At 46.4% G+C, this 27098-nt stretch overlaps 1 protein-coding gene and 1 long non-coding RNA gene across 10 annotated transcripts in view, besides 4 other annotated features; one reads left to right on the top strand and one right to left on the bottom strand.

The window, feature by feature from the left end:
- CCN4 (cellular communication network factor 4) overlaps positions 1178–27098 on the bottom strand; it is a 40652-nt gene continuing 14731 nt past the window's right edge. Inside the window, exons 2-5 of one of the 8 annotated variants that reach the window (NM_003882.4) lie at positions 19725–20004; positions 12027–12287; positions 7285–7478; positions 1178–5457 (exon numbers count right to left, since the gene is read on the bottom strand). In NM_003882.4, the coding sequence (NP_003873.1) occupies positions 5158–5457; positions 7285–7478; positions 12027–12287; positions 19725–20004 (1035 nt within the window). In that variant the 3' untranslated portion in view covers positions 1178–5157. Of the gene's footprint in view, positions 5458–7284; positions 7479–7598; positions 7974–12026; positions 12288–19724; positions 20005–27098 lie in introns of those variants that run through there. The other 7 variants (XM_024447319.2, NM_080838.3, XM_047422392.1 and 4 more) reach the window with 7 other exon arrangements.
- Positions 9629–10130: an enhancer, noted in NCBI's record as "H3K4me1 hESC enhancer chr8:134234981-134235482 (GRCh37/hg19 assembly coordinates)". NCBI's record gives its function as "activates a minimal SCP1, AML or CMV promoter by ChIP-STARR-seq in naive H9 embryonic stem cells {active_cell/tissue: H9 hESC(naive)}" and the evidence as "EXISTENCE:reporter gene assay evidence [ECO:0000049][PMID:30033119]".
- Positions 13966–15165: an enhancer, noted in NCBI's record as "P300/CBP strongly-dependent group 1 enhancer chr8:134229946-134231145 (GRCh37/hg19 assembly coordinates)". NCBI's record gives its function as "activates an origin of replication core promoter dependent on BRD2, BRD4, P300/CBP, MED14 and CDK7 cofactors, with strong dependence on P300/CBP, by STARR-seq in HCT116 cells {active_cell/tissue: HCT116}" and the evidence as "EXISTENCE:reporter gene assay evidence [ECO:0000049][PMID:35650434]".
- Positions 16175–16264: a silencer, noted in NCBI's record as "silent region_19560". NCBI's record gives its function as "represses an Ori minimal core promoter by ATAC-STARR-seq in GM12878 lymphoblastoid cells {active_cell/tissue: GM12878}" and the evidence as "EXISTENCE:reporter gene assay evidence [ECO:0000049][PMID:35858748]".
- On the top strand, positions 19881–21865 carry LOC102723635 (uncharacterized). Of its 2 annotated transcripts, none has more exons than XR_428405.3 (3): positions 19881–19969; positions 21004–21148; positions 21329–21865. It is a non-coding gene; the product is annotated as an uncharacterized LOC102723635 (long non-coding RNA). The 2 variants fall into 2 exon arrangements; XR_928668.3 differs by lacking the exon at positions 19881–19969 and adding an exon at positions 20493–20574.
- Positions 19893–21092: an enhancer, noted in NCBI's record as "P300/CBP strongly-dependent group 1 enhancer chr8:134224019-134225218 (GRCh37/hg19 assembly coordinates)". NCBI's record gives its function as "activates an origin of replication core promoter dependent on BRD2, BRD4, P300/CBP, MED14 and CDK7 cofactors, with strong dependence on P300/CBP, by STARR-seq in HCT116 cells {active_cell/tissue: HCT116}" and the evidence as "EXISTENCE:reporter gene assay evidence [ECO:0000049][PMID:35650434]".

Below are 27098 nucleotides of genomic sequence, written 5' to 3'. Positions count from 1 at the left end.
GGCACCCACAGGACTCCACGATCTAAGTTCCAATTTTGAAACCAATATGCTTCAGGATAGAGGTGTTCCTAGAAAGAATTCGTGTGACAATTATATTTTTATTGGAATGGAGCCTCCCCTTGACTCTTTATACTCTCATCATGTGTTCTGGGGGCAAGTAGATGAGAGGGATTTGGCCAAGAGGTATCAAAAGAGGCATTCACTTAATGTGCCCCAGCCATCTGCACATCTGTTCATACAGCTCAGCATATGCTGTGTGCTGTGTTGGGCTTGGGAGACACAGAAAAGTATAACACACCCTTCCTGCTTTAGAGAAGCTGGGTTTCAAATCAAGTTACAGCATAAAATGAAAACATAAAAAGCAAAAATTTAAGGGGCTAAGCAGTCTATGGTTGAGGTAAAAGAGCATTCAACTGAGTATAGATAGTGACACTATAACTGAGTACAGATAGTTTTCTTTACATTTGCTATTTTAAATAAGGGCTACGTAAAGTAAATATACAAACACACACGTTGACATTAATTCTTACTGTTGCCTTGCTGATTACCTCCAGTTTATGAAGAAACTCAGCTAATAGTAGATGTATTTAGTAAGTGTTTAATGTTCTAAGTTTATTAAGTGCTTAGTATTCTAAGTTCTATTTTAAAATTTTGTATGCAATACGCATCCCACTGAGGGGTAGGTACTATCATTTTCTACATCTCACAGCTGGAGAAACTGAGGCTCAGATGGGCCTAGTCAGGAAAAAGGTATATCAAGATCCACTTGAGGCCCAAAGTCAGGATTGTTTCCATTGCATCTGTACCCTCCCTTAGGCTTCTTTTTCCTCCTCTTGTTTCCTGAGGCAGCTGGCAATAGATACTCTGTCCATCCATCCAGTCCTTGCTTACTCAGTTCTTGACATGCGCCTGCTTCTGAGCTAGGCTCAGAGGACGCAGTTACAGTCCCTGACCTCATGATACTCAGTCTCGCTGGGGATGTAGACAGACAGTGAATATGTGAGTAAGTGAATGAATGAATGCCAAAAATTTCATTTTATATTTACATGAGGTGTCTTCCAGCCTGGATACATTGGCAGCCCTTGTCTTCTCTGAGTTCTAAAATTTGTGTTTCTAAGCCCATTTCCAAACTTTTTTAGCCATTTTAATTTCAGTATATAAAGTATCTGGGACCTCGTTTCCACCATCTGCACATTTATTGAACATGCTCAATGCTCCATCATTGTCTCATAACAACTGCCTGTACAAGAAAAGCCACCAACTCCAGTATGTGACTTTGCTGATGGTTTATTACCTTAAGGAAAAGACTTACACAGAGAAATTGAGCAATGAAAACCCTTCACATTGAGCAAACACATTCCACGCTACACAAATCATGAGAAAAATGAGAACTGTTGTGAAACATGACAGATTGCCCAAGTGTTATTTTTCCTCTATTGGAAAATTCTAAGACGTTTCCTCATGTGTAGTTTTTCAGTCACAAAAATGGCAGTAGGAATATTTAAATATTAAATCACAGTTTGAAAATAGATACATACATACATATATATACACACACAGGGATACATAGTTGACTTATGATTCCCAGATATGCAGGGTTATCATTGTGACTGCTTTGGATCAAGACAAGTTTGTAAAAAGCAGCGACATAGTTCAACATAATAGTCAGGAGCTAGATTACTTCCCTGTAATTGCTATGCACACACAGTACAAGGCTAGCGAGATTATAGACAATCATGTCATTCGAATCTACTATCTTTGATAATTCTGAATCATTTTCAAAGTTAAAATTGCAGCTATTGTCAGTAAAGCGCCTCTTATAAAGGTCATGCCTTTTGATTTGGGGGACAGAATAACTAGGCGTAGCACAAGAAGAGATGGCTCAGGTATCAGACTATCCTGGGTTTCCAGTCTTGGTCTGCTGTTCACTAGCTGGTAAGACCTTGAGTACACGACTAAACTTCTGTGAGACTCAGATGATAATGCCATATTCTATAGGTTTGCTGTGAGGATTAAATGAGATATGGCAGGAAAGCACCTTCCACAAGGCTTGGTGTATGCTAAGCGCTCAAAAAATGCTTATGATAAGGTTTAGCAAGATTTAACTTGGTGAATTCAGGTCTCCTTCCCTTTTGCACACCTAAGCACACCTGAGTAATTCACTCTAAGTATGAATGTAAATTTCCTCAGCAAAGGTTAACTAACCCTTAGGGTAGCTTTCCTTTGTCTCAGAACATATAGTTAACAAGGGACCACAGAGGTGATGATCTATTTGGTCTGTTTGAAGCCCCTTGTAGATGTAATTCTCCAATAGGTGTCATTCAGGTCTTTTCCAGAGGCCTCCGCAAGAGCAGGGGCTGGTAGAATAAGCTGCTGTTTGAGCTCTAACTTTTTGGGGGCACTTCTCTTTTCCACTTATAAAATAGTGAAAGATGCATACTCAAAATTGCTGTAACAATTAAATAAAATAATGAACAACTTAGCATAGTGCTTGGCACCAAGTAAACACTCAATCAGTGGAGATTTTTTTCCATTATATTTATTATTCTTAATTTTTATTGAATCAGGCCACACCATTGCAGGGAAATTCTGACTTAGAAAGCGCTTCATTACATTGGATCCAAATTTCCTTCTCCATGGCTTCAACCCATGGGTCTGAGACTTGCCCTCCGGGCTCTGCATAAGATAGTTCCGTTTCTCAAAACCAATGGCGACTGGGTTATTCTGACCACCTTCCTGCACCCATTGCCAGAATAATCCCTAGTTTCTCCAACCAGACTTCCTATGATCTTTGAAAGCTAAGTTCAGTTTCCCAAATTGAGATGCAAATTCAGTAAGAACCTAGCTCTTGGGTTTCCACTGAATTTCAAATGGAGTGAGCTGTTATCCAGCCTTGTAATTTGTAGATGGCAGGTGTTTTCACTCTCAGAAAATCTAACATGATTCACACTGACTTACAGAAGAGATCATTCATGGAGTGAATTCTCTTTATACAAGAATTCTTGCATACGCATACACAAATATATGTATACATACATATGCATTTCTTTGAAATATTAAATGTCTCTTTTGCTAAGGCACTTAATATAAAATTTTGACTGTTAAAATTCTATTTTCATGTAGCTTTGGAAGAAGAGAGCTTCGAATAAAAGTAGGAACACATGCACAGCTTCCTGTATTCATCAAGTATTTAATGAGCACCACTGTATACCTTGCACTGGACTAGGTTTTGGGGAGGTCACAGTAAGGAGGATGTATTCCCAGTCCTTTTCCCGTTTAGGAATCTCTCTGCACACTGCACAGAATTCCCTGTGAATAACTACACAACATTCAATATGCAGCATTGGGTAAACAGAATCATCTTTTAAATGTGTGATGAGAGCTGGTTCCGATGGGAAAGAGGGAATAAGCTACAGGGGATTCCTGGATTTTTGTGTGTCCCATGTATTTTGGATGCTTAAGCACCTAAATTATCAGAAAATCAGATATTCTCGTCTTTTGAAAAGGAGCTAGAAAGACTATAAGAGGGAAAAATGACATTAAAAAATCAAGCCATTTATTGCAATGTTTTCCTATTCTGACACATTTGGAAGCTCTAAAAACAGGGGGAAAATATGGGTTATAAAGACAGTCCAATTTCGATCTGAATCCTAACTTTCCCAGTCACCAACTGGGTGACTCTGGTTGAGTTTTCTCACCTCTATGAGCTTCCGTTTCACATTTGTAAGAACAGAAATAATAATGGGAACTTCTCAACATTGTCGTGAAGATTCAGTGAGCTAATACATGCAAAGCACTGAGAGCAATGTCTGGCACAGAAAAGGCCCTAAATAAAAGAATTCTAACAGTAAATATTATATTTTCCTAATACAATAAATAATAGCCTGATATTCATTAACAACAACCTTTTCCTTTTAGCTTCAACCTCTTCAGCTTTAAACCTTTATTAAGTCTATTTCTGTTTCTAAACAACCGGTAAACCTCCATCTTCCTACCAGAAAACTGGCCATTTGGTCAGCAGAACGAAAGGCTGTGAAATGAGTCTCTGCAATAGATGTGTCCTGAACACGGGGGCCCCTGGAGTCCCACAGCCTCCAGCTCTAGAGGTCACCCCAGGCTGCTACCAAGGGCACCCACTTCTTGGTTTGACCCACACCCCTACCTGAACCTGTCTTGGTCATTTCAGTGGGTCTGGCATGGTCTGCAGCTGGGTCTCTCAAGGCTCTGTAAGAGTAGAGGAGTGTTCCAGGGCACCACTCTCAGGGGCCAGACAGGCCAGTCCAGAGGCCTTACCAATTCCTATGAACCCCAAGCAGGACAAGGGAGAAGATTCAAGGAAGAGCCTGGCCAACTGCCCAAAGCCCTGCCAGTCAGCAGCTGATTCAGTGTGAGAGTCAATTGGTCCTTCTGAAACGGGCTGACCTTTCCCTGTCTCTGGAGTATTAACTGGGGGCTTTTCCCATCAACAGGAATGTTTATCAAATTTTATTTCTGACTGGGACAAACCTAATCTGTACCCTTCACAGTGTAGGGGTGAAGAGAAACTTAACCTCAACAATGCCCAGGTTAATGGATACAACTTTCCATTAAAAATCAAAATTAAGCAACTATTCAACTCACTTGGCAAATGTTTGATGACCTTGAGGTGCATACATATTTGGAATCAGGATAGTTTTGGTGCGCTGACGTCAGAATTACCCATTACAGTACCTCTTGGCAGGCTCCAAATAATAGATTATTCTATTGTTCCAAATTCCATCTATTCATCTGAATGGACCCAAAGAGTCTTGTGGTTTGGCATCTAAAGAAGAAATTAGTGATATTAAAAGTCTACCTGATTCCATTTCTTGGGATTTAGGCAAGATCCAGCAGGACTTCTAGTGACTTGGAAAGGCTGGATCAGGCTTGGGTGTAGTCCAGAACAGCTAGAGACAGGCATTTTTCTTTAGAGTAGATGCTGAATGATATCAAGGAGAAAACTCATAGCATGGGCCTGAGCAGCACCATCAGGCGTCATTTGAATGGTTAGAGACAGAAATGGAGGCCAAGGGTCCAGATCAGGGTAACTAAGGCTCATTGGTGAAAAGTTATTGGCCATAAGGGCTGACTGCTTCACAGGCATTGGGTTAGTCCCCAAGACCCAAGATTTGTGCCTGCCTAGTTGGCAATTTCTGAGAAGTCAGGGTAGGATTCCAAGTCAGCAAAGATGTCATTGGGATTCCTACAGCTCAGGTTACAGAAGCAGGCATTAATCCATAGGACCTGGCGGGAGAAGCCAAGCCCATCAGGACACTGGAAGGACACGTCGATAGTCTTAGACTTGTAGGGGATGCAGCACCTATTGTCCATGCAAACTCCACAGTACTTGGGTTGATAGGAGCGTGTGCTGATGCAGCCCGCAAGTGTGAAGTTCATGGATGCCTCTGGCTGGTACACAGCCAGACACTTCTTCCCTGCCTGAAGGAAAGGAAAGGAGCTTTCAGTGGGAGTGCTCAGAGAATGGACAACCACCTTCTTCCCCTGAGCCCCCAGTTTTTCCCTTCTCACTATGTGGGAGCATTCCACCTTACTTTCAGCTTCACAGCATCCTCAAGCAAGGAGGGACAACAGCAAACACAGTGAGATCCAGCATACCGCACAGGGGTAAATGGAGGACCACAGAGAAAAATGTTTTGTTTGGGTTGTATCTCACAGCCTGCAGTTTCTCTTTTGTCCTGCATTTTTGTCTTGCCTATGGCCAGTCATTCATCATGGTTTCACCAACATGGGGAGCCTATGTAGCTCCTTCATCCAAGCAAGTTCCCCTGGCTAGCTAGTGGCAGAACTGGCATCGGGACTCCACACTCAGGGGACACGCTTTGCCCTAACCGCCCCTCCTGCCTTTGCCTCTCGTGGCCTTTCACACATACCTTTAGTATTCAACGTATTCAAATGGTTGACATTAAAGGTAACGCTACCTTCCACTGGGCTATGGGCCACTTGAGATTTACTGTTCTTTCTGTGTTTCTGTGGTATAATTCCATGCCTAGTACAGAGTAGGCACTTACTAAACCCATTGGATTGAGGGTTCTCAGGGTCTACTGTGTAAATAGTATGCTAGATCTAGGCTGTATGGCGGCATGAAGCTTGCCCAATTTGGGAAACCCTCTGAGGGCACATAATTCTGGAAAAAAATTGGTTGGAAATCAAAATTGGCTTGGACTTGCATTACGTGGTCCAGTAATGGTAGAGCCATCTCACTCAGCTAACGACCTTTGCTGTCATTCCTCTGCAGCTGGTACCTTTTCCATGTACGTTTTCAGTTAAGAGATGTCTATGGAATGCTTACTGTATACCAAGCGCAGAAAATACAAAAGCTAGTATTACAGGGAAAAATAATCAGAGAGGAAGAAGAAAGAAGAGAAGAAGGAGAAGGAAGAAGAAAAATGGATCCAGTTGATCAATATATAGATGACTGGAGAAGGTGTCTAGGGGATGAGGAGTGATGTTGGATGTCTGAAGAGGATCACAGGAAGCTGTGCTGTCTTTTCTACATGGGAGGCAACCCTGTCCTCAACATCCCTAAGAAACCATCAGCATTCCAAAAATGGAATAACTGTTGAATTTTTTGTTTTGCTTTGTTTTTCCTGTGACAAAAGGCTGACCACTCCTAAGGCATGAGTGAGGAGGACTTGAATTAGATAAATCAGATCCACTTTTAACTCTGAGACTGGGGCTCAAACTAATGTGGCCCAATTTTCTTTGATGCTTTATTTTAATTATCTTGGACTCTTAAAGCTGAAAGGGATTTCAGAGATCAACTCCAATATGTTAATGATGAGGGAATGGGGGCTCAGTGATGAGCAGAGATTGGCCACAGTCACATGCAATTAATGCAAGCAGACATTTGACTCTAGGGGTCCTGAGCCTCATTTAGTGCTCTCTATATCACCCAGTGTGGCTGCTGTGTGGGGGTGGGCTGGCACAGGAGTGAAGGGAGGATGGAAATTGGTAAGGATCCCTCAGAATCATTATAGAAGACCACTCCTGAGGGTCTCTGAGGTTTCTCTGGAGTGATCCTGATTCTAATAATATGATACCTACCAAAGCTTCCATTGACTGAAATTCACAATGCACCAATCTGGTGACCTGCATTATCCGAAATAGCTGTTACACCAGACCTACCAGGTGAGCTTAACTATTCCCACTTTACAAATGCTCCCCACGAGGAAGTTCAGGAGCCAGGCTCAAACCCATATTTGTCTGCTTGTGAAGTCTAGACATCCACACCTGCTCTGGACCCACCTTAATGAGTGTATGGATGTCCACATCGCATGGCCGCAAGTTGCAGAGGCGGCTCTCTTGCTCAGGCCAGCACTGGGCGTTAACATTGGAGATCCGAGTGGAGACCCCCAGGCCGCAGCTGGTGGAGCAAGGGCTCCAGGGGCTTGTGTAGGCTATGCAGTTCCTGTGCCATGCCTCCACCTCACCCACAGCATCTGTGTGTGGGGAACAGAATCTGCATGAATCTACAGCTCCCACCAGCCCCCAACCCTCACTTTCACCACACTAAGGTCTGCGGTCCCCAGAACTCAGAGGAACACAGAAATTGGCTGTACCTCCCCACAGGACAGCAAGTTGGCTTCTAACCAGCAAAGGTACCCAGGGAGTGGAGGACATGTTCTCAGCTCCTTGTATGTTTCTGATCAAGAGAGGCAGTGTGGAAGCATGGGAGGAAACCCATCTTTAGAGACAGGTGGATCCCAGTTCAAATTCTGCTCTACCACCTACAAGCTGTGTGATCTTAGATAACCCACCCTGGGCCTGTCTCCCTATTAGAACAATAACACCTGCCTGTGCGGCTGGCAACACAATAATAAGGCCTAGATTTTTACTGAGTATGCATCAATCATCTTGCTAGGTGCTGGGAATGGGACTTTTTTTTTTTTTTTTGAGACAGAGTTTCACTCTTGTTGCCTAGGCTGGAGTGCAATGGCACAATCTCAGCTCACTGCAACCTCCGCCTCCTGGGTTTTAAGTTATTCTCCTGCCTCAGCCTCCCAAGTAGCTGAGATTACAGGCATGGGCCACCATGCCCGGCTAATTTTGTATTTTTAGTAGAGATGAGGTTTCACCATGTTGGTCAGGCTGGTCTCAAACTCCTGACCTCAGGTGATCCACCCGCCTCAGCCTTCCAAAGTGTTGGGATTACAGGCATAAGCCACCACGCCTGACCAGGAATAAGAGTTTTAAAAGACATTCTCCTGCCTCTGCAGAGAGAAAGTTTATTTGGGGGAAGTTCAAAGGCAAGTAGCTACATGCCAGCACCTAACATTTTGTCGCAGTGATGCCGAGGGCATAGTGGGTAAGAGGGCACACAGGCTTCTTTGGGAGGCCAAAGCAGGTGGATCACTTGAGGTCAGGAGTTTGAGACTAGCCTAGCTAACATGTTGAAACCCCATCTCTACTAAAAAATACACAAATTAACCGGGCATGGTGGCATGTGCTGTAATCCCAGCTACTCAGGAGGTTTAGTCACAAGAATTGCTTGATCTGGGAGGTAGAGGTTGCAGTGAGCCAAGATCGTGCCCGTGCACTCCAGCCTGGTCTAAAAAGCAGGATTCTGTCTCAAAAAAAAAAAAAAAAAAAAAAAAAAAAAGGACTTACGGGCTTCAAATTCAAATCACCAGGGTTCAACTGGCAGCACTGCTACTTGCTGGCTATGTAACTTCCAATAAGCTAGCTCACACCTCCTTGCCTCAGGATCCCCACCTGCACATGGGGTTGGCTATAGCATCTCTTTCTAGTGCCATGATAGAAAAGATGACTTCACGCCTATGAAAGCACCCAGGCTGTCCCTGGCCTTTAGTAAGCTAAAGCCCTTAGTTAATGTGAGTCTGTGTGGTCATTTGACTGTCAGCCAACTCAACTACCCACTCTTGGATGTTCCTATTGATGCATGTATCTCCCGCATCTAGAAGATAGTAAGTGCTCTCTAACTATCTGAAAAACGGAAAATGGTGGTGAGCTCGAGACCAAAGCAGGTTAAAAGCTGTTAAGACAGAACTGCCCACAGAAAGATGGAACAAGATGCAGTGGAGAGGAGGCCTGTCCCATCCAAACACACATGTGCATGAGGAGAGGAGGGAACAGGCAGACAGGGAAGGGATGGAAAGACAGATGGAAGCTCAGAGAAAAGAGAGAGAAAGAAGGAGAGGAGGAGAGAGAAAAAGCGTGTGTGTGTGTGAGAGAGAGAAAGAAACAGGAGGAAGGTAATAAAAGTAATAAAAAGAATGAAGGGAGGGAAAGAGAGGCAAAAAGATAAACACAGAAAAGAAGAGAAATCTAACTAGGATTAGAAGGATAAAGAGGAAAGGTAAGTCAGTTCCTCTAAGCTTATAGGTGTGCTGGGAACATTGATGAATGAATGCAGGAATCACTGAGTGAGAGAGGGAAAGACCTGAAATGGGAGGCATCCAAGGACAGGAGGGGCAGGGCTGACAGGAGCTGGAGCTGCAAGCATCTTGGGAGGTGGTGGGGAGGGAATTGCCCAGGAGGATAAAGAGGCTTTGGTTTTTGGGTCACCTCGGCTAGGCAGGGGCTCCGCTTGTGCTCGGTCAGAACAGGGTCACTGGGCCAGACACAATGGCAGACAGCTTCTGCCTCCCTGCTCCCCCCGTGACCCTCGTGTGGCCCTCCTGGGGAGGTGGTGGTGGGAGAGCTGCCTTGCTGCCCTGGGGCTGCTGGGGACAAAGCTTTCCTCCACGCCTCCTCCTATCCTCACAGGACTGCTTCTCCACCGAGCAATTTTGTCTCCTAGGGTGTATTTGGAAAGGTCTGGAGATGATTTTGGTTGTCACATCTCTGAGGGAGCGGGCGCTTCTGGCATCTAGTGGGTAGAGGCCAGGGATTAGATTGCTGGGATTTAGTAGTCATGCATTAGATTGCTACTAAACATCCTCCAGTGCACATGACAACCCCACCACAAAGAATTCCTTCATCCAAGATGTTGACAGTGCCGAGCTTGAGAAACCTGCCCCACACCGTCCCTGAGCAATCTTTAGCATATATAATTTTTTTTAAAAAAACTACCAATACTCTTAGAACTCCCACTCTATTGCCATTTTTCTACTGCTCTCTACTGCTTGCCTCGTAAGCACTTTCCTCTAGAAATGTCCTCATCTGCTGCCTGCCATGGCATCAGATGCTCCTGGTTTTCTTCATACATCCCAACCCTCCTCTCTGTTTCCCCATGCCTCCTCTTATTCTGCTCACCCTTCACATGTCAGCATTCCCAGACCTCTGCCTCAGGCCCCCTCTGTCTCACTGTGGATGTTACCCTCAGGCCATCCCAGCCATCACCACCAGCAGCTCCAAGCAGATGACTTCAGAGCTCTCCTATTTCGTCTCCTTCCTCCCCATAAAGAGAAACTGGAAGCTTCTCTTAAGATCCCGTGGGCAGGGCACTCTGCCTTAAACTCAGTCTGTTTCAAACAGAGTAGATCTCCCTTGGCCCAAATGTGCTCCTTCTCTTGTATTTGATCCTAGGCAATGACAAGCCCTGGGAGTCAGCCTCTGTCCCTCTTTCTTCTTCACCCCATGCATTAGATTGACATTAAGACCTTCAGTCTTACTCAAGCAATGCCTCTTGTGTCTGTTCCTTCTTCACTGCCTCTACTCCCACTGCCCTAGTTCAGATCCTCATTAGCCCATCCATCTATCCACCTACCCACCCATTCATCCATCCATCCATCCTCCATCCATCCATCCATTAATTGATCCATCCATCATTCACCTATTTGTCCGTCATCTATCCATCCAATCATCCATTTATTTATACATCTATCTACCTATTCATCCACCCATCCATTCAGTTCATCCATTCATCCATCCATCCATCCATTCATCCATCCATCTGTCCCCTCGTCTACTTATTTATACATCTATCCATCCATCCATCCATCCATCCTCCATCCATCCATTAATTGACCCATCCATCATTCACCTATTTGTCCATCATCTATCCATCCAATCATCCAATTTTTTATAAATCCATCTATCTATTCATCCATCTGTCCATTTATCAATTCATCCATCCATCCATTCATCCATCCACCTGTCCACTCATCTAGTTATTTATACATATATCCATCCATCCATCCATTCATACATTCATCTGTCTATTCATCTATCCACCCATCTACTCACCCATCTATCTATTTATACACCTATCCATCAATTCATCTATCCACTCATCAATCCACCCATCTATTCATACATCCATTTATCCATCCATCTATTAATCCACCCATTCATTCATCATCCTTCCATCCATCCATCATCCACCTATTCATCCGTCATCTATCCATCCACTCATCTATTTATACATTCATCTATTTATCCATCCATCTCTTCACCAATCCATCCATCCATCCATCCACCCGCCCATCTATCTATTCTTCATCCATCCATCTGCCCACCCATCAGTATGACAAACATTAATTGGATACCTGCTAAGTGTATGGCACTGGGCTAGATTCCAGTAAGCAGCAGTGAAACAATTGGGCCTGTCCCCACTCTTCTTTTCCAGGGCTTCCTCTTATCTGGTTTACCTGGCTGAAATCTCACCTGCCCACCCATCTTCATAGCAAGGGGGAAGCCCCAAATCATCATGAAGCTTCTACTAGACCCATCTCCTCTTGCTCATACCTCCTCTCCTCAGGTACCCACATACCTACCCTTCTTCCACCACCCATCCCTAACTCTTTAGTAGGATAATAATGGATTGCACTTTTAGGGCTTTGTTCTTTACAAAGCACTCCTCATTTTATGCTGGGAGGATCCCACAGGACAGACTAGACAGATGGGATTATTTCTGTTTTACAGATGGGGAAATAGGGTCTCAGGGGAGGTATGACTTTCTCAAGGTCACAAAGCTAGTAGGTAGTGGACTGGGGAATGAGTCATTCTATGGTGGTCAGAGTTCCAGGAGGGTCCACAACCCATTTGTAGGGTCCCACCCCCAGCCCACTCGGGCCCACACCCACCGAAGGCTCCTGTGTCACGGGGTGCGGTCTTGCGTGGCCTCTTGGCGTCGTCCTCACATACCCACTGCTCACAGCAGTGGCCAGGTATGCTCACGCGCCGCGGGTGGGGGCACCAGAGACGCGGGGGGCGCACTCGGAGGCACAGTGGTGTGCAGCCCACCGCGCCGTCGATGCACGTGCAGTTGTACTTGCAGTTAGGCTGGAAGGACTGGCCGTTGTTGTAGCGCACCCCATCCAGGACGCAGCCCACACCGACCACCTCTGCAAACACAGGTGGCCGGTCAGGCCCAGTGGCCTTGGTGCCCCTGGCTGGCCCAGCTGCCTTTATAGGGGCTCCATGTGGACCATGCCCCAATCCCGGGGATGGCTCCCAGCATGGAGGAGGAACAGAGGCACAAAGGCAAAGGCAGGGAGGTGTGAGAGTGCACAGGGCAGGGCTGAGTGTTTGGTGGAACTTCAGCAAAGGGAGTGCAGGAGTTCCTTTATAGCTTCAGCCAGCACCCAGGGAGTGGAAGGACGCAGCCTCCCGAGGGACTTGGCTGGTTTGCTCCCTGCAGGGTCCCCAGCACCAGGCACAAAGCCTGGTACTGACAAAGACCTGCCATTAGGGCTCATGGTTCTGAAGGTGACCGACTTGTAAAAAAAAAGCCAGAACACTTCGAAACACGTGTTCCATTCATTCCATACACATTCATGGAGCCTTCTATGTGCTGGGGACTCAATAGTGGACAAAACAGACAAAAGACATGCCCTCAAAGAGCTTATGCTGTGGAAAGGTCATATGGAATGTTGGCAGTTACAAGTGTCTGGGAGAAAAGTGGAGCAGGGAGGGGGAGTTGGGCGGGGGGAGACAGTTGCAAATTTATTAATAACCCTTTCCCTGTTTAGAAAAAAATGTTCAGCTAGCTGCCAGAGCTCATTTAATTTTACATAAACACACTTTTTGAGGTTAAAGCAAATCTGACTGATTTTCCATGTAAAAATAAAATATAAAAACTGTTTCTTGGAGTTCTTTCTAAACAGAACTAACATCAGAATTGTCTGAATCATCAGAATAATCTATTTCAGAAAAATCAGATTCATCAAGTGAATCCCAGCCAACTGTTGAAGAACAATTATGCATAGGAATGCTGGGTTTTCTAGGATTTGACATTTTCAGTGATCGAGAATTACTATATTTTGTAAATGGAAATACCACTCCTAAAAAAACACAATGCTGTAAATAGAATGATATCTTTTGTTTTTCAAAGTTGGTATTCTAGAATGATGTGAATAGAGTAACAAAAGTGAGATATTTTGTGGCAAAATTATTTTGGGGTAAATGCTGCAGCCTCTAGTGCTGCTGGTGAGTATTCTCAGCGCAACTGGGAATAGGGTTAAATCAGGTGGATGGGGAAGGCCTCACTGGGTGATGACGCTCAGCAAAGCCTGAAGGAGGTGAGGAAGGAAGCCCGCCCAGGGGTTGGGGGAGGAGCTTTCCAGGTAGGGAGGGGCCCACTTAAGTAAAAAGACCACAGGTGGGAGCAAGCCTGGGCTGTGGGAGAGGTCTGAGGAGGGGAGACAAGAAGGAAAAGGGAAGGAGAGGAGGTCCGAGAAGGCTTCCTTGTAGGCTCAGAGGAAGTGCAAAGCTGTTAGAGCCTAGCACATAGTAGGTGCTCAGTAAGCAACTGCTGAATGAATGATGAAAAGTATGCTTTGCAAGAACACTCATGGTGCTGAGTTGAGGACATGAGAACACTCACGGTGCTGAGTCAGAGGGCAAAGGTAGCATGGGGGACCACCCTGAGACCCAGGTGGGAGAGAGCGGTCTGAAGCCAGAAAGAGAAGAGCTCGGCTTCCAGACAGATTTGGAAGGAGAGCTGCCAGGACTTACTGACAGAGGGGCTGTGCGGGGGAAAGGAGAGGAGTCGAGAAGGAGGAAGATGCTCTGTCCTCTTTGGACAAGCAGGGTTTGGGTTGGGTGGACTCAAGTGTTCTCCATTATGCGTGAGATGGCTGGTTGACAACCAAGTGGCCATGTGGAGTTAGTTAAGCCAGTTTGGAGTCAGGGAGAGTTGGGGACTTCTGGACCAGATATCACCCTTGATACCATGCTCTCTCTGGAGGACAGCTTCTGGAAATGCAGGTAAAGAGCCCCGGACATCATGAGTGGCCACCCAAGGAGAAGCAGTTTGGAATCTGCAGTGGGCCAACAGTTCTGTCCTTCAGGGTTTGCCCGAAGGTGGCTGTTAATAATAGCAGTAATCCTAATGTCTAGCAGGCATGAAGGTTTTCGAAGTACTGTCTCTGTTATTGGATACTGGGTCTCCTCTGTATTGTGCATTGCATTACTTATTTTATTCTGTACAGAAACACTATCACATTATCATCTTTGTCTTTATATATAGCAAAACAAAGTCTCAGCAAGGTGAAGACACATAGCGTCCAAGGTGACCACAGCGGGAAGCAGAATCCCGGTTTGTGTGAACCTTGCTGCGGCTATTGTTTTTTTTGGGGTGCGGTTATCCGTGCAGGAGGTGCAGAAAGGAAAGATGCTAACATCAACTGACCCTCTGATCTAGTGCCAGGTATCATCTGATACATTATCTCATTCAGTTCTCCCAATGACTTCATGAAGAGTTTTATTTTTCTCCTTTGATGGACAGGAAAGCTCTCAGAGAGGTTAAATGATTCGTTTGTTCAAGGTCACGAAACTGTTGAATGATACAGCTGGGACTCAAACCCAGGAGACCTGACTCCACAGCCCATTTCCTGCCACCAGACACCAGTGAAGGAGGGGACAGAGGAAGGCAAAAAAAGCAGAGGAAGCGCTGGGTGAATCACTCATCTTTGCATTCTGAGTCACCCTGCCTCTGCCTGCACGCTGTCTCTCCAGGAAGAGTGTGTGTGTGTGTGTGTGTGTGTGGAGAAGGGAGTGGGCTAAGCCCGGAACTCTGTCCCTGCATGTGGAGACTTTGGAGGGAGAGGTCAGTGCTAGATGCCCGGAGTCCCCAGCACAGTGGCTTTCCCTACCAGCTGCACAGGGGAACCCCAGGGGAACCTGGGGAGCTTTTAAAAATTGTGATGCTCATGCCAGGCCTCAGAATATGGGGGTGAACCTGGGTGTCAGTATTCTTCTTTTGTTGATCTCCGTATTTTAAAAGTTCCCCAGGTGAATCCTGTTTGCAGCTAAGGTTGAAAACCAGTGCAACTAGAAGGCGCGCCAGTCTCTCTCCTTGGGGCTTTGGGTGGGGAAGTGAGATGCTGCTACTGGCTCTGACCAGCCTGCCCACCACAGGCTAGTGGGATGCATGACGGCTGCAGATGGTCCCTTCAGCTGACTCATTAAGTTTCTAACTAATCAAAGGCGAGATGGTGAAGACAGTTGGGTTTCCTTCACTACCTCCTATCTAATCTCAGATCTGCAAGTGCAGGTGTGATCGAGTTAGCTTTCCTCTTACTGAAGCACTTTCAGGAATTCAAGTCAACTTGCTCTGCCATCGGGGCCTTCCCTCCCTTCACACCTCCCATGGACTGTCAGCTCACGCTGTCAGCAGGGACAGTGGGCCATGCCTTGTTGTAGCTCTGTTTGTTTTTGCTGCCTCACTTATGTTTATTGTGTGAAGAATCAATGGAGGGATGGATGGATGGGAACTGGGGTGAGCTGTACTCTTTATTCAGCTCCTGCCATGTAGCAGGCACTTGACATTCTAACCACCCAGAGATATAAACTTTCTTTGTCACATTTTCCTTGAAGAAGAAACTGAGACTTAAAAGGCTAAGTAGTTCGCCTAAAGTCATAGTAATAGTGAGTGATGATGCTGGGATTCCAGCTGGGTTGTCTAGGTCCAAAGAGCATGCATGAATTTACTACTCCCTCACTCTTCAGTATGGGGGATCTAGGCCAGGAGCTAGACCTGCTCCCTCCTCTAAAGGTGGCCGTGAATAAGACTGAGGTAACTTTCCTTGCAAGGCAAGCCAAGAGCAGCCAATTACTTTTATTTTTATTTTTTGACATTTCCTTATTTATTTTGCAACAAGCATGTGAGGTTGGTTTTATGACACTCCTTAAGTGATGTGCACATGGTCACGTAGCTAGCAAGTGGCAGAGCCAGGATCTAAAACTCAAGTCTGTCAGCTTGTAAATATCATAATCCTTCCACCAAACCACACTGACCTCAGGCCTGACCCAGCTTCATTTAAACGTAGAGTAGTGTTTGTGCAACTGAAATAGCCAAATGATGTAACTCAGAGGTCACCCTCTGCCCACAGATGTATTTAGTTTGGCCCACAGAGTGGTTTTAAAAATATTTTTGAATGTATTGCCAATGTTTACAAATCATACACAAATCTATGTACCTGGATTCTCTTGAAAACTAAGCATGCTGAACAAGACCTAGCTTTTTTCTGCTTGGCCAGAGTGGCTGGGCCCAGTAGGGTCATCTCTGAAAGCCAGGGCTTGCACACACCAGATTGCCATTGTCCCCATCATACTCTGTTTGAGTTATATAAGCCAGGGTTGCAATGGCTCATTTTTATTACCTGCCTTGTTCTGGTCTAATTACATGCAAATCTTTAAGGACAGATTTAGCCTGTCCTAGGAACTGTCCATTTGCTTAGCTGACCATTTGTGGAAAGATTGTTTCTTAGAGGAACCGTTTGTTCTGTTTACCCTCTGGCCCAGAGGTGTATTCTTTTGCAGACCCCACACTCTCTTCTTTCCTGCATTAGGGTCTCATGAATTCAGACACTATGGTAGCACTTCCGGGAACATGTTCAATAGAGCACTAGTGAGTTGTGTTTGTGCATGTGTGGGCACATATGTGTGTGATGTGTATATGTATAACTGTGTGTTTGTGTGTGTGTGTGTGTGTGTGTAGTGTAATGGGTGGGTAAGGAACTATCTGACTGAAAAAATTTAGTATTAAATACATCTAAAAAATTTATTATGAAGCTTATGATACCTCTCTTTTGGAATTTGGCAATGGACATGAAAATTTGAAGCCTCTGAGAATTTCTATAGCTCCTGGTTAGCTTTATTTATCTCAATGCTTGTAAAACTTCATGACCAGGGAACCACTGGTAGGCGTAAAATCTATTACAATCTCCTTTAGCCTACAGTTTTTGTTTTTTTCAAATAAAAGGAAAGGAAGTACACAGAAGCCCATGGTGTTGGGAAGTTAAGTGGCTGTACTGGGTCAAGGCAGGACCTAAGATGCAGAGATAGGGGGTGAGGAGGACAGGGAAGGGGGTTTTCCAGGCCACCGGTGGGGAAGGCAGGCAGGACAGGCAGTTTCTGGGTTCACACAATCTTTGGATCCATGACAGAACATCTATAAATGAGTGGTGCCTGGCAGATGACAAGATCTCAATACAGCTTTAGAGATTAATGCAATGGTAGTGAAAAGAAGTATCTTTTTAATGACCTTGAAGAACAGTTTTTACTGGAAGAATAAATTATGAGACAAGCTCATATAACTGGAGGTGGTTCTAGTGTAAGAAGTCCAGGCCAGGTTTCCCTACCTGGGTTATGGGGAGGGAACAGATGACTGAGTATATTAGCAGCAATTCTTGAACTTTAGCATGCATGAGAATCACCTGGGAGTCTTGTTAAAGGACTAGATCCTCATTCCCACTTCCAGAGACTCTGATTCAACAAGTCTGGGGTGGGGCTCAAGAATAACATTTATAATCAACATATCAGATGATTCTGTGCAGCGGATGCTGCAAGTTCTCTTTGAACATACCATTTATGTGGCTGCTAATGAGTTTCAGTAAAAGAAGAAAAATTAGAAAGATGGGAGAAGTGGGATGGTTATTCACAGAAAGCCAAAGACACAAGGATTCGTGTGAAAGTTGAAGCATGAACCAATGATAAAAGAGAAGAAACTGTCATAAATTAACCATGTGGTTCAGATAAAATAAAATTGTCTGACTGCAAATGATGTACATAACCCTCATGGACAATCCACCTCAAAAAATATAATGGTTAGCTGAGGATGAGAGACTACGTTGTGTGTGACTATGTGACGGGGTGTATATGGAGTCATAGTTAAGGGGAAGGCTTGATTCAGCACTAAGGGAAGAAGGGAGTTTTTGGGTTTATGAGACTTTGTGGAAGTTTTCAGAAGTTAGGCTGCTGCATCATAATACCTAGGTAGCTCTCTTAATCTGATGAGTCATATATTTTGGGTAATGCTTACACAATTCAAGGGAATACAAGTCCGGACAGAAGCAGGGGGTCAGAAAGTTTCATAAAGGAGGTGTCTTGGAACAAAAAAGGATAGAATACCCGTGATGGAGCACTTGAAGACCAAAGAAAACAACAACTAACAACAACAACAACAACAACAACCACCTCCAAACAGGAGGATATCAGAATACACCAAGAATAAAGAAAAAGCAAAGGCCATTAGAAAGTCCAGGAAAAACAAAAGCATCATAAGGAAGTGAATTAAAGCCAGTTCCTGATCTCATACTGCAGTGAACAATATTTACCTGGTCATAATATTATAAGTACTGATGATTGTATAATCAAAAATTATGGCAATGTCATTTGGAAGGTAGGGGTTATATCAGGTGGTTATTGAGGAGCTAAATCATCAGCTATCTTAGAATATTAATATATTATCCAAAAATTGATATATCAAGGCAATTAATATATAGCAGAACACATACATTTTATAGTAGCAATTATATATATATAGTAGTTATATATAACTACTGTTATATAGTAGTTATATATAACTACTATATATACTATATATAGTTTATATAACTACTATATATAGTGTATATATAGTATGTATAACTACTATATATAGTGTATATATAGTATGTATAACTACTATATATAGTGTATATATAGTATATATAACTACTATATATAGTGTATATATAGTATATATAACTACTATATATAGTGTATATATAGTATATATAACTACTATATATAGTGTATAGTATATTTAACTACTATATATAGTGTATAGTATATTTAACTACTATATATAGTGTATATATAGTATATTTAACTACTATATATAGTGTATATGTAGTATATTTCCCCCTGTGAAAACTGTTCTTCAAGTTCATTAGAAAGATAATATTTATAGTGTATATATTATCTTTATATTATATTTCTATACTATATAGAATATATAGTATATTTCTATAATATACTATATTATATTTCAGAAGAAATAACTAGAAAATTTAAGTGACTGAAGTAACTGAGAAATGTAGGTAGCTGGTGGGAAGGGATGACTGCAGGCTGCTGATTTTCATTCTTTCAAGGCTACTGGATTTTTAAAACCATATTTTTTAATTTACAATATTACCAAAATATCTGGAGTTCTGCAGTATGCTGGTGTGTCCTAGTAGGCCATGGACATTTGTTAAAAGATCCTACCACTAAGAGAACAAAACCAGGCTTAGGTATTTCATGGCGTCTCCCTCTTCCCTGGGGACAGCCATGAATGTGCCTCCAGGACTGAGAATAAAGCAAGAAGCAAAGTTCTGGAGGCGAGAAGAGTGCAGGCATCCTTGCCTCCCCTTCCCAGGAAGGACCCAGCCTCTGGCCTCTGATCATGGGGTGTATCTCCTGCTGAACGGAAGCCTGGCCAGGTGAAAGGCTGTGGGGGTGCCAAGGGAGAGGGGTTTGGGGCCAGAGCTGGGGGTGCTCAGGGGCTGGTCAGAAGGTATGGAGGACTCACTTACGTGCACACACTCCTATTGCGTACCTCGGGCGGTCCCCGCTGTAGTCACAGTAGAGGCCCCGGTGGGGGTCACAGATGGCAGCCTCCGTGCAGTTGTCCCCAAGCTGCTGAGCGCACATCTTACAGCACTCACAGCCATCTGTGATGAGGCTGACCCCCAGCGGGCAGCGGGGTGGGGATGGCGGGCACTCACATGGCCACTTGCAGAATTGGGGGCGTGAGGAGGTGTCCTCCAGTGGAGCTGGGGTAAAGTCCATGGTCGTAGGGGCTGGAGAGAGGGCCTGCGGGGGGAGGGCAGAGGGAAAGGGGGGCTGCTGAGACAGGGGTTTCAACGCCCAAAGGGCCCTGCCATTGCATTCCTGTCCTCATGCTGTTCAAAAGGTTTTCATAAAATTATTTTTTCTATCACGCTTTTGATAGCCAAACATCTCCTTTATTCTCAGTAAAACAAATAGAACAGAGGAGCCCAACATGCAGCGAAGTTAAACCAATTGCCCGAATCCTTCCGCTGGTCAGCGGTGGGGCCCAAATTCCACCTCAGACCCTGCTCCTTTCCTTTCTTGAGTGATTGTCGCTGCAGCCCCGAGGTAAGGGAGGTGGCCTCACTTTACAGGGAGAAAGCCGAGGCCCTGAGCAGGTGGAAGCTGGCTGTGAGTCATGTGGCTGCGCGGGGCTCGGATCCCATGGCTCTTCTGTGACGACCTGCAGGGCCAGTTCCTTCACTCACCGAGAGTTCTTAAGGCCTCTCTGAGTCAGAGGACTCCTACTTAATACCGGTTTCGGCCCGCTGACCTATTATTATTTTTTTCCCCTCTGAGCATCCGGAAAGGGCTGGCGTGGTGCAGCGGCAGGTATTCAACTTTATAGCTCCTGGCAGCTACATGGGCCCCAGCCCTTGGGGAGTGAGTTGGCGCTTCCTTTGCCAGCACAAGCCCTACATGGAGGAGCCCTTTTATTTTGCTGTCAGGGCAATGAGACCCCCCACCCAACACATACACACTCCACTCTACCAACCCGCACTCCTCCCCAGCATCCCCATTCCCATCCCCCAGTCAACAGCTTCATCTTTATTTTGGCAAATATGATGGACACAAGAGGCCAGCTGGGAAGGGAAACCAAGGCCCTAAGAGCTGCCCAGGCCTGAGGAGCGGCAGATGGAGATGCCTGGGTGTCTGAGTGCAGGAGCTTCAAGCTGCCTGTATCTCCAGCACCCAGTCACCTGCTGTCCCATCTGGTTGCCCCCCTGAATCCCATCTGTGCCCTTTGCTCTATCTCGAAAGAGACCTGGGCCTGCAAGAGGAAGAGAATCGCCTGAGGACACAGGAGCGGGGACGGGAGCCAGGCTTTGAGTCAGTCCTCCCTCTCCTGGGCAAGCCATGGATCATCCTGCCCAGCACTTCTCGTCCTTGACGGCTGAGTTCTGAAGTAAGCAGAGGAGAATCCAGGGCTTCTGTGGGGCTGGGACAGGGGGCTGGCTGGGCTCTGGGCTGCTCCCTCCATCTGGAAGCAGAGGAGCCTGCTTTGTGGGATCACAGATCTGCTTTCCACTCGGAACACCAGGCTCCGGTGCTGAGCTACTCAGACAAATTCTTTCCTCCTTTACAGGGGAGGAAGGCAAGACCCGAAGAGACAGATGGACACTCCCAGGATGACACAGTTCACAGCAAGGCCAAGATGCAAATTAATCTCCTAACTCTCATTACAACAGCTTCTACTTTTGCCTCTTCTGGGTTCTTTCATTCACTCAACAGACATTTGCAGAGTTAGCTCATAGTCTCTCTTAAGTTTTAGATATTTGAAGATAAGCGTTAAAAGTCCCTATGATTGGGGAACCCACAGCTTATGGGAGAGGCAAGTATTAGAGGTGATTTACTACAACTCGAGGGATTTACTGCAACTCGAGGGATTTACTACGCAAAGTGCTGGGCATTCCAAGGAGGCATGGAAGCTCTCTGAACACCAGGGCAGTAACTGCTCTGCCCAGGAGAGTGGGGTCCACTCTTGCACCTTGAAGGACCAGGGATGAGGAAAGTGGTTCAGATGAATTTCTGAATTAGTCTGACTAGGCTCTGAACCTGGCGCACAATAAATGTAGTAAATATTGATGCAATAAATAAAGCCCTTGCAAGTCAACAGACAAAACCCGACTTGAAGCTTTCATCTCCCATAGGCTTGATTTCAGAACTTGGTCAAATCCACCCTTTCCCTACCTCAAGGCCGCTGCGATGCAGTTCCCTGTGGCTGAGAGGCCCTTCCTATCTTTTTCACCTGGGGCCCCTTTCTCTGGGCGGACTCTCCTGACTCGCTGACCTGCGTGTGTCTGGCTTTCCCTTAAGCCACTAGGCAGGCTCAGAAATTAGACATTTGTGTGTGTTTGGAGGTTAATGCCGGTGAACTCCATGGGGTGAGGGCAGGATGGGGCAGGCCCCCACAGAGTGCCTGCACATTGCCAGTCTTCACTGGGGACATATGGGTGACTTCTCTGTTATGGCCCAGACAGACACCAGAATGGCCAAAAAAAATCTTGCCTGCAGCCCCCTGCAGGGAGGAAGGCTCTGTGGGCGATGTGGCCTTGGAAGGCCTTGCTGGTAGGGAACAGAGAGCTCTTGGGGTTGGCAGTTCTGGGTGGTTCACCGAGGAGGCACTAGTTAGCCTGCCCTTGTTCATATTTCCTCAAAAACACAACAGGATGCAAGAAAACCCTACATATCCGAATCAGTAAACACACACACACACACACACACACACACACACACACCCCTCTTTTTGACTTTGGGGAGAGACATTTCCTTGTTAGGCCATGATTCTAGAAGCCTCAGAGCCTCATGAGCACTAGCAGACCATCTCTCAGAGCCACCACACTCAGGACGTGCTCTTGGCAGAGGAAATAAAGATGCCCTCTCCTCCAGGAAGGCTTCCCTGCCCTTACCTCGCTCACTGGAATGTGAACTTGGAAAGGGCAGGGCCCGGGCCTTGCATCTCTCTGTGCGCCTGAAACACAGCACAGAGCACACAGTAGGGCTTCATATGTGTTGACTGGTGAAATGGATGGATGGGGGATTGTCGGCTAAAAAGGCTTGGATATCTATGATATTTAAGGCATCATGTACTGGAACCTCTCCTCTGGGCCCTAAGTTTGAGTGTCAAGAAAAGAACATGCAACCTGAGACAGTCCGACGTACGTTCTTTCCGTGTGGCCTTGGAACAGCATCTTCATCTTTCTGAGCCTCAGCATTCCCATCTGTGATATGGGCACAATCACACTCACCTCCCTTTGGGGGCAGTTGGAAGGGTGAAGGGGCATTGTGGATGTGGCAGCACTAGGTAGGGCCTGGCACATGTCACATGGCACACAGAAGCCTGTCTCCTCTTACACCCATTTGGTTGTGTGTCCTCCCTGACCCCACTGTGCCCAGAACAGAGTTGGGGATCTGGACACTTTGAGCTGAGCTGGAATGGGTTGGAACCGGGTGGGTATCCCACTCCTGGGATCACTATCCATCCTCCTGTCTCCATCCCAAGTTAAAGATGCCCAGAAGGAAGCTTCCTTTCTAAGTGCCTGGAGGTGCCAGGGCACACAGCTGGTGAGGGGAAGCTGCAGAGAAGTCCTCCCTTGGACAGGGGAACCATTTATGGCATCCCTGGGCAGAGGAGGGAAGGGCTGTGGGCAGTCGGCTGAGCCAGCCTTTGCAATTGGCACCATCTAGTGGTAGAAAATCTCCCAGACTCAGGAGAAGGTGCTGGACAAGATCTGTGCAGGGGAAAACCCTCTGGACCCCAGGGCATGAGGACTGCTGGGTTTGGTGTGTGAGCCTCTGAGTGCCAGCTGCCTTGTCCAGCACTGACACATACCTAGGGTATGTCCAGCATAGACGCTTACCTAGGATTTGGGTCTGCAGGCCACAAGTGAGTCCTGACTCGTGATAATCGATCAATCCTCACCTCTCTGTGTGAGCACGAGGGAAAGCAGATGACTGGCGCAAGGGCGGTTTCCGCCCTCCAGCACTGACAGTTTAGCTGGGGATGTGCACGATGACTGAGTCATTCTAGGGACCGAGGATTATTGAATCCCTACTATGCACAGGATTTGTGCCAGGCTGGGAGGAGACGAAGGTGCCTAAGACAGAGCCCCTGACTGGCTCCCCACCTAGTGAGGCCAACAGACACATAAATAATGATTGCAATTCAGTGCAATCAATGCTATAACAATGGCATCCACTCATTTATTCATTCTCCCTTTCATTTATTTATTCAACACACCTGTAGTCAGCTTTTATTTTGTGCCAGGTGCAGCACTAGGTGCTGGGGATGCAGTGTGAGAGCCAAGCAGACCTGCCTGTGGGATGACAGGGGAGTGGCTGGGCTGTGTGTGTGCTGGGGCTGAAGAGGGCTTCCCAAGACAGGAGGCACTGGGAACGGGTTTTGAAGAGGGGGTGGGAATAGATCAGTGAGGAAGCAGGAGAGGGTACCCAATGCGCAAGGACCCTCAAGTGCACAGGCACTGAGCTGGCAACATGTGCCAGGGCCTGGGGCCTGCAGAGCCTGGTGTAGGGTGCAGGGTGGAGGCAGGAGGAGGCGAAGGCTAGGACGGATGAGGATGGGTTCAAGGCACAGCATACATCAAGGAAGACCTTGAATGCCTTGGTTTGGGCTGAGGTCTGGAAGAATGGTTTATTGAAGGATTTTAGCAGGAGGATGGCAGGGTTAGATTTGTGTTTTAGAAACACCACACTGTATCCAGTCCAGGCTTTGTCACTGTTCATGTTACTCTGGGAGTTCACTTTCTGAGCCTGTCTTCTCCTCTGTAAAACGGCATTGCTACCATCGCTTAGCTCGCAAGTGACTGGAAGTGAGCATCATATGAGGTCACAGCTGGAATTCCTCCTGCTGGTACATCCATTGCAAACCATCACTCTGATGACCACTTGGGGACTGTCTTGCCCTAGCCCTCAGTGACTCTGGCTGATCTCATTTGTCTTCTGCACAGTGACTGGTATTATTATTCCCATTTAACAGATCAGTAAAGTGGCTTGCTTATGCCCAACACCTAGTAAATGACAGAACTTGGATTTGAATCTGGAACTGTTTCAGTTAATGTTTTTCCCACTACTGTACATGAGGGAGAATTTTCTGATGAAAAAAAAAAAAAACAGCTGAAAGGTAGTGAGTGCACCATCAGTGGAAGTAATCAAGAAGCAGCTAGACAATTATTTGGGCTGGCAGTTGTAGAGGGACATCAAGCCTCACAAAGCCTGACACATAGTAGGTGTCAATAAGCATCTGTTGATAGGGTGAATACATGAGTGAATGTTCATTTCCCCAACCAATCTGCCATCCTTTGAAGGCAGAAACCACATGCCGCCCATCTGTTCCCCTGCATGCACAAACTCACAGGCCCTTATAATCAACATACCTAAGATCTGAGTGAGGGCTCATTCTATATGGAGAACTCTGTTTGCACTATCTCATATAATCCCCTAACAAATCACAAGGCAGGTCTGCTAATGTTCCCCTGAGCAGTGAGAACACAGAGGCACAGAGAGGTTAATGTCTTGTGCAAGGCCACACAGGTCAGGTAGTCAGGGATGGAACCAAGGTCTGCCTTGTCCAGAGTTTTCGAGCCACTAACTCTTCTGCCTCTGATCACTGCACAGGGAACACCGTGCACATGTGAATTTTGGGGACATGCTCCCATCAGATCTTGAGCAAAACAAATATTTCATGGGGGCTGGGAGCTCAAGGAGAGGCTTTGGGATCCTGGGACATAGCTGGATCCCCATGTGGGGGTACCTGTCCCTTCAGGGTTCTTGTTGCTGCCAAAAATGAGCTGATAACGGCCCACTGCCCTGCTTCTCCCCTGAAGTCCAGCCTAAGCTGCCATTCGGGTGGTCTAGTGCATGAGCACTCAGCTTCCAGAGACAACAAATGATGCTCATTGCTGAAGAGTGAGGGTTGGGAGGGGCCTCATGGCCAGAACTTCTCCTGGAGAGCCGGTGAGTCTTAACGCTGTGAGTCATCTTAGAACTCCTTTACCCAATCTGTCCCTGCATGAGCAGGGAACGGCAGAAGGACTCTAGTCTGAAGTGCTTGACTCTAAGCCTGTGCTTACACTCTCCACCTCTCCCTGAGTGAAGCCATAGTTTCCCCCCCGCCTTCCTGCTCCACTCCAAAGCTGCTCTGGGGCCCTGATCAACTGGAGGTGCATGGTGCCATGGCGGCTTTCACTCCTCCTGGGCCGGTGGCATATACAGTGAATGATACCAGCTTCTAATGAAAAAGCCTGTCCAAGAACCCCCTGGCAGTGGCTTGGAGTGTAGGGGTGGCGAGGTCACATCTTAGAACCTCCCAGTTAGTTCTGGGACCTTAATTCCAGTGTGATCCCTGGCACCTTGTGCCCATCCACTGGCAGCCTCCCTCGGCCCCAGGCAGGCTGAGGCAGCTCATCCCCTGAGCATCCCTCGAAGGCTACTCACTGGGGCTTCAGCTGCTTGGAAGGCCAGTGTAGGGTCTCTCTCTCTGTCTCTGTCATACACACACACATGCGCACACACCATCAGCCTCCTTCAACATCCAGGATGGCATGACATCTCTACCTGTCCTTTGCTTTGGTTCACAGCTCTTTTCACTGAATGGTTCTCTTTTTCCACCCCCCAAAAAAAGGAGTGGGGGAAGCATCTCAGCCAGAGAAGGGAGATGAGAGTTTCCCACACCACCTTCTGTCTGTGCATCCTATGTGGGCTCTCAACTCCTCATTCCTTGCACATCCGCTTGCGGAGTCATCCAAGGGCCCAGGTACCACCAGCCCCACCCTTTCCTGCTGTCTGGGGACCTCCTCAGTGCACCCAGGTCTGTCATGATGGGGAGTCACTGGGGGAATATCTGGGGCACGTATGTGTGTTGACCTTGAGTGGTTGGTCTGGGGCCTTTCTGGGGGTGTCTCTGTTGGTCCAGAACATCAACACATCCTGAAGGAAATGTGTGGCGCCTCTGGGTCAGAGCTGTGGCTCCATAGGTAAACCAGCTGTATCATCCCAGCCTCTAGTACCCTGGTTTGGCTGCTGGTGGGACTCCCATGCCGCACCTGTGGTGCTGTGCAGTGAAGAAGCCCGGGAGCTCGGGCCCCTAAGCCACACCTGGCCCTTATCTTTAGTGGACAATGAGAGTATGGCCTTTGTCAAAATAAAAACGATAAACCCATTTCTGTGTAAGCAATGGGTATTTGTGCAAAACAAATACCTATTTGCTTGGCTTGCCTGGGTTTGGGAGAGAGAGGTAATTAGTAGAATATGAACATTTAGAGGAATCTTTTTGCAGCTAAACAATACAAAAAAAGGCCTGCACATTTTCCAGAGGCTTCTGTAGGATCTCAAAAATA

Source organism: Homo sapiens, chromosome 8 (assembly GCF_000001405.40).
Source record: "Homo sapiens chromosome 8, GRCh38.p14 Primary Assembly".
In the NCBI taxonomy this organism is placed as follows: Eukaryota; Metazoa; Chordata; class Mammalia; order Primates; family Hominidae; genus Homo; species Homo sapiens.
Note: the sequence above shows the minus strand (reverse complement) of the source record. Positions and strands in the feature narration are given on the sequence as shown.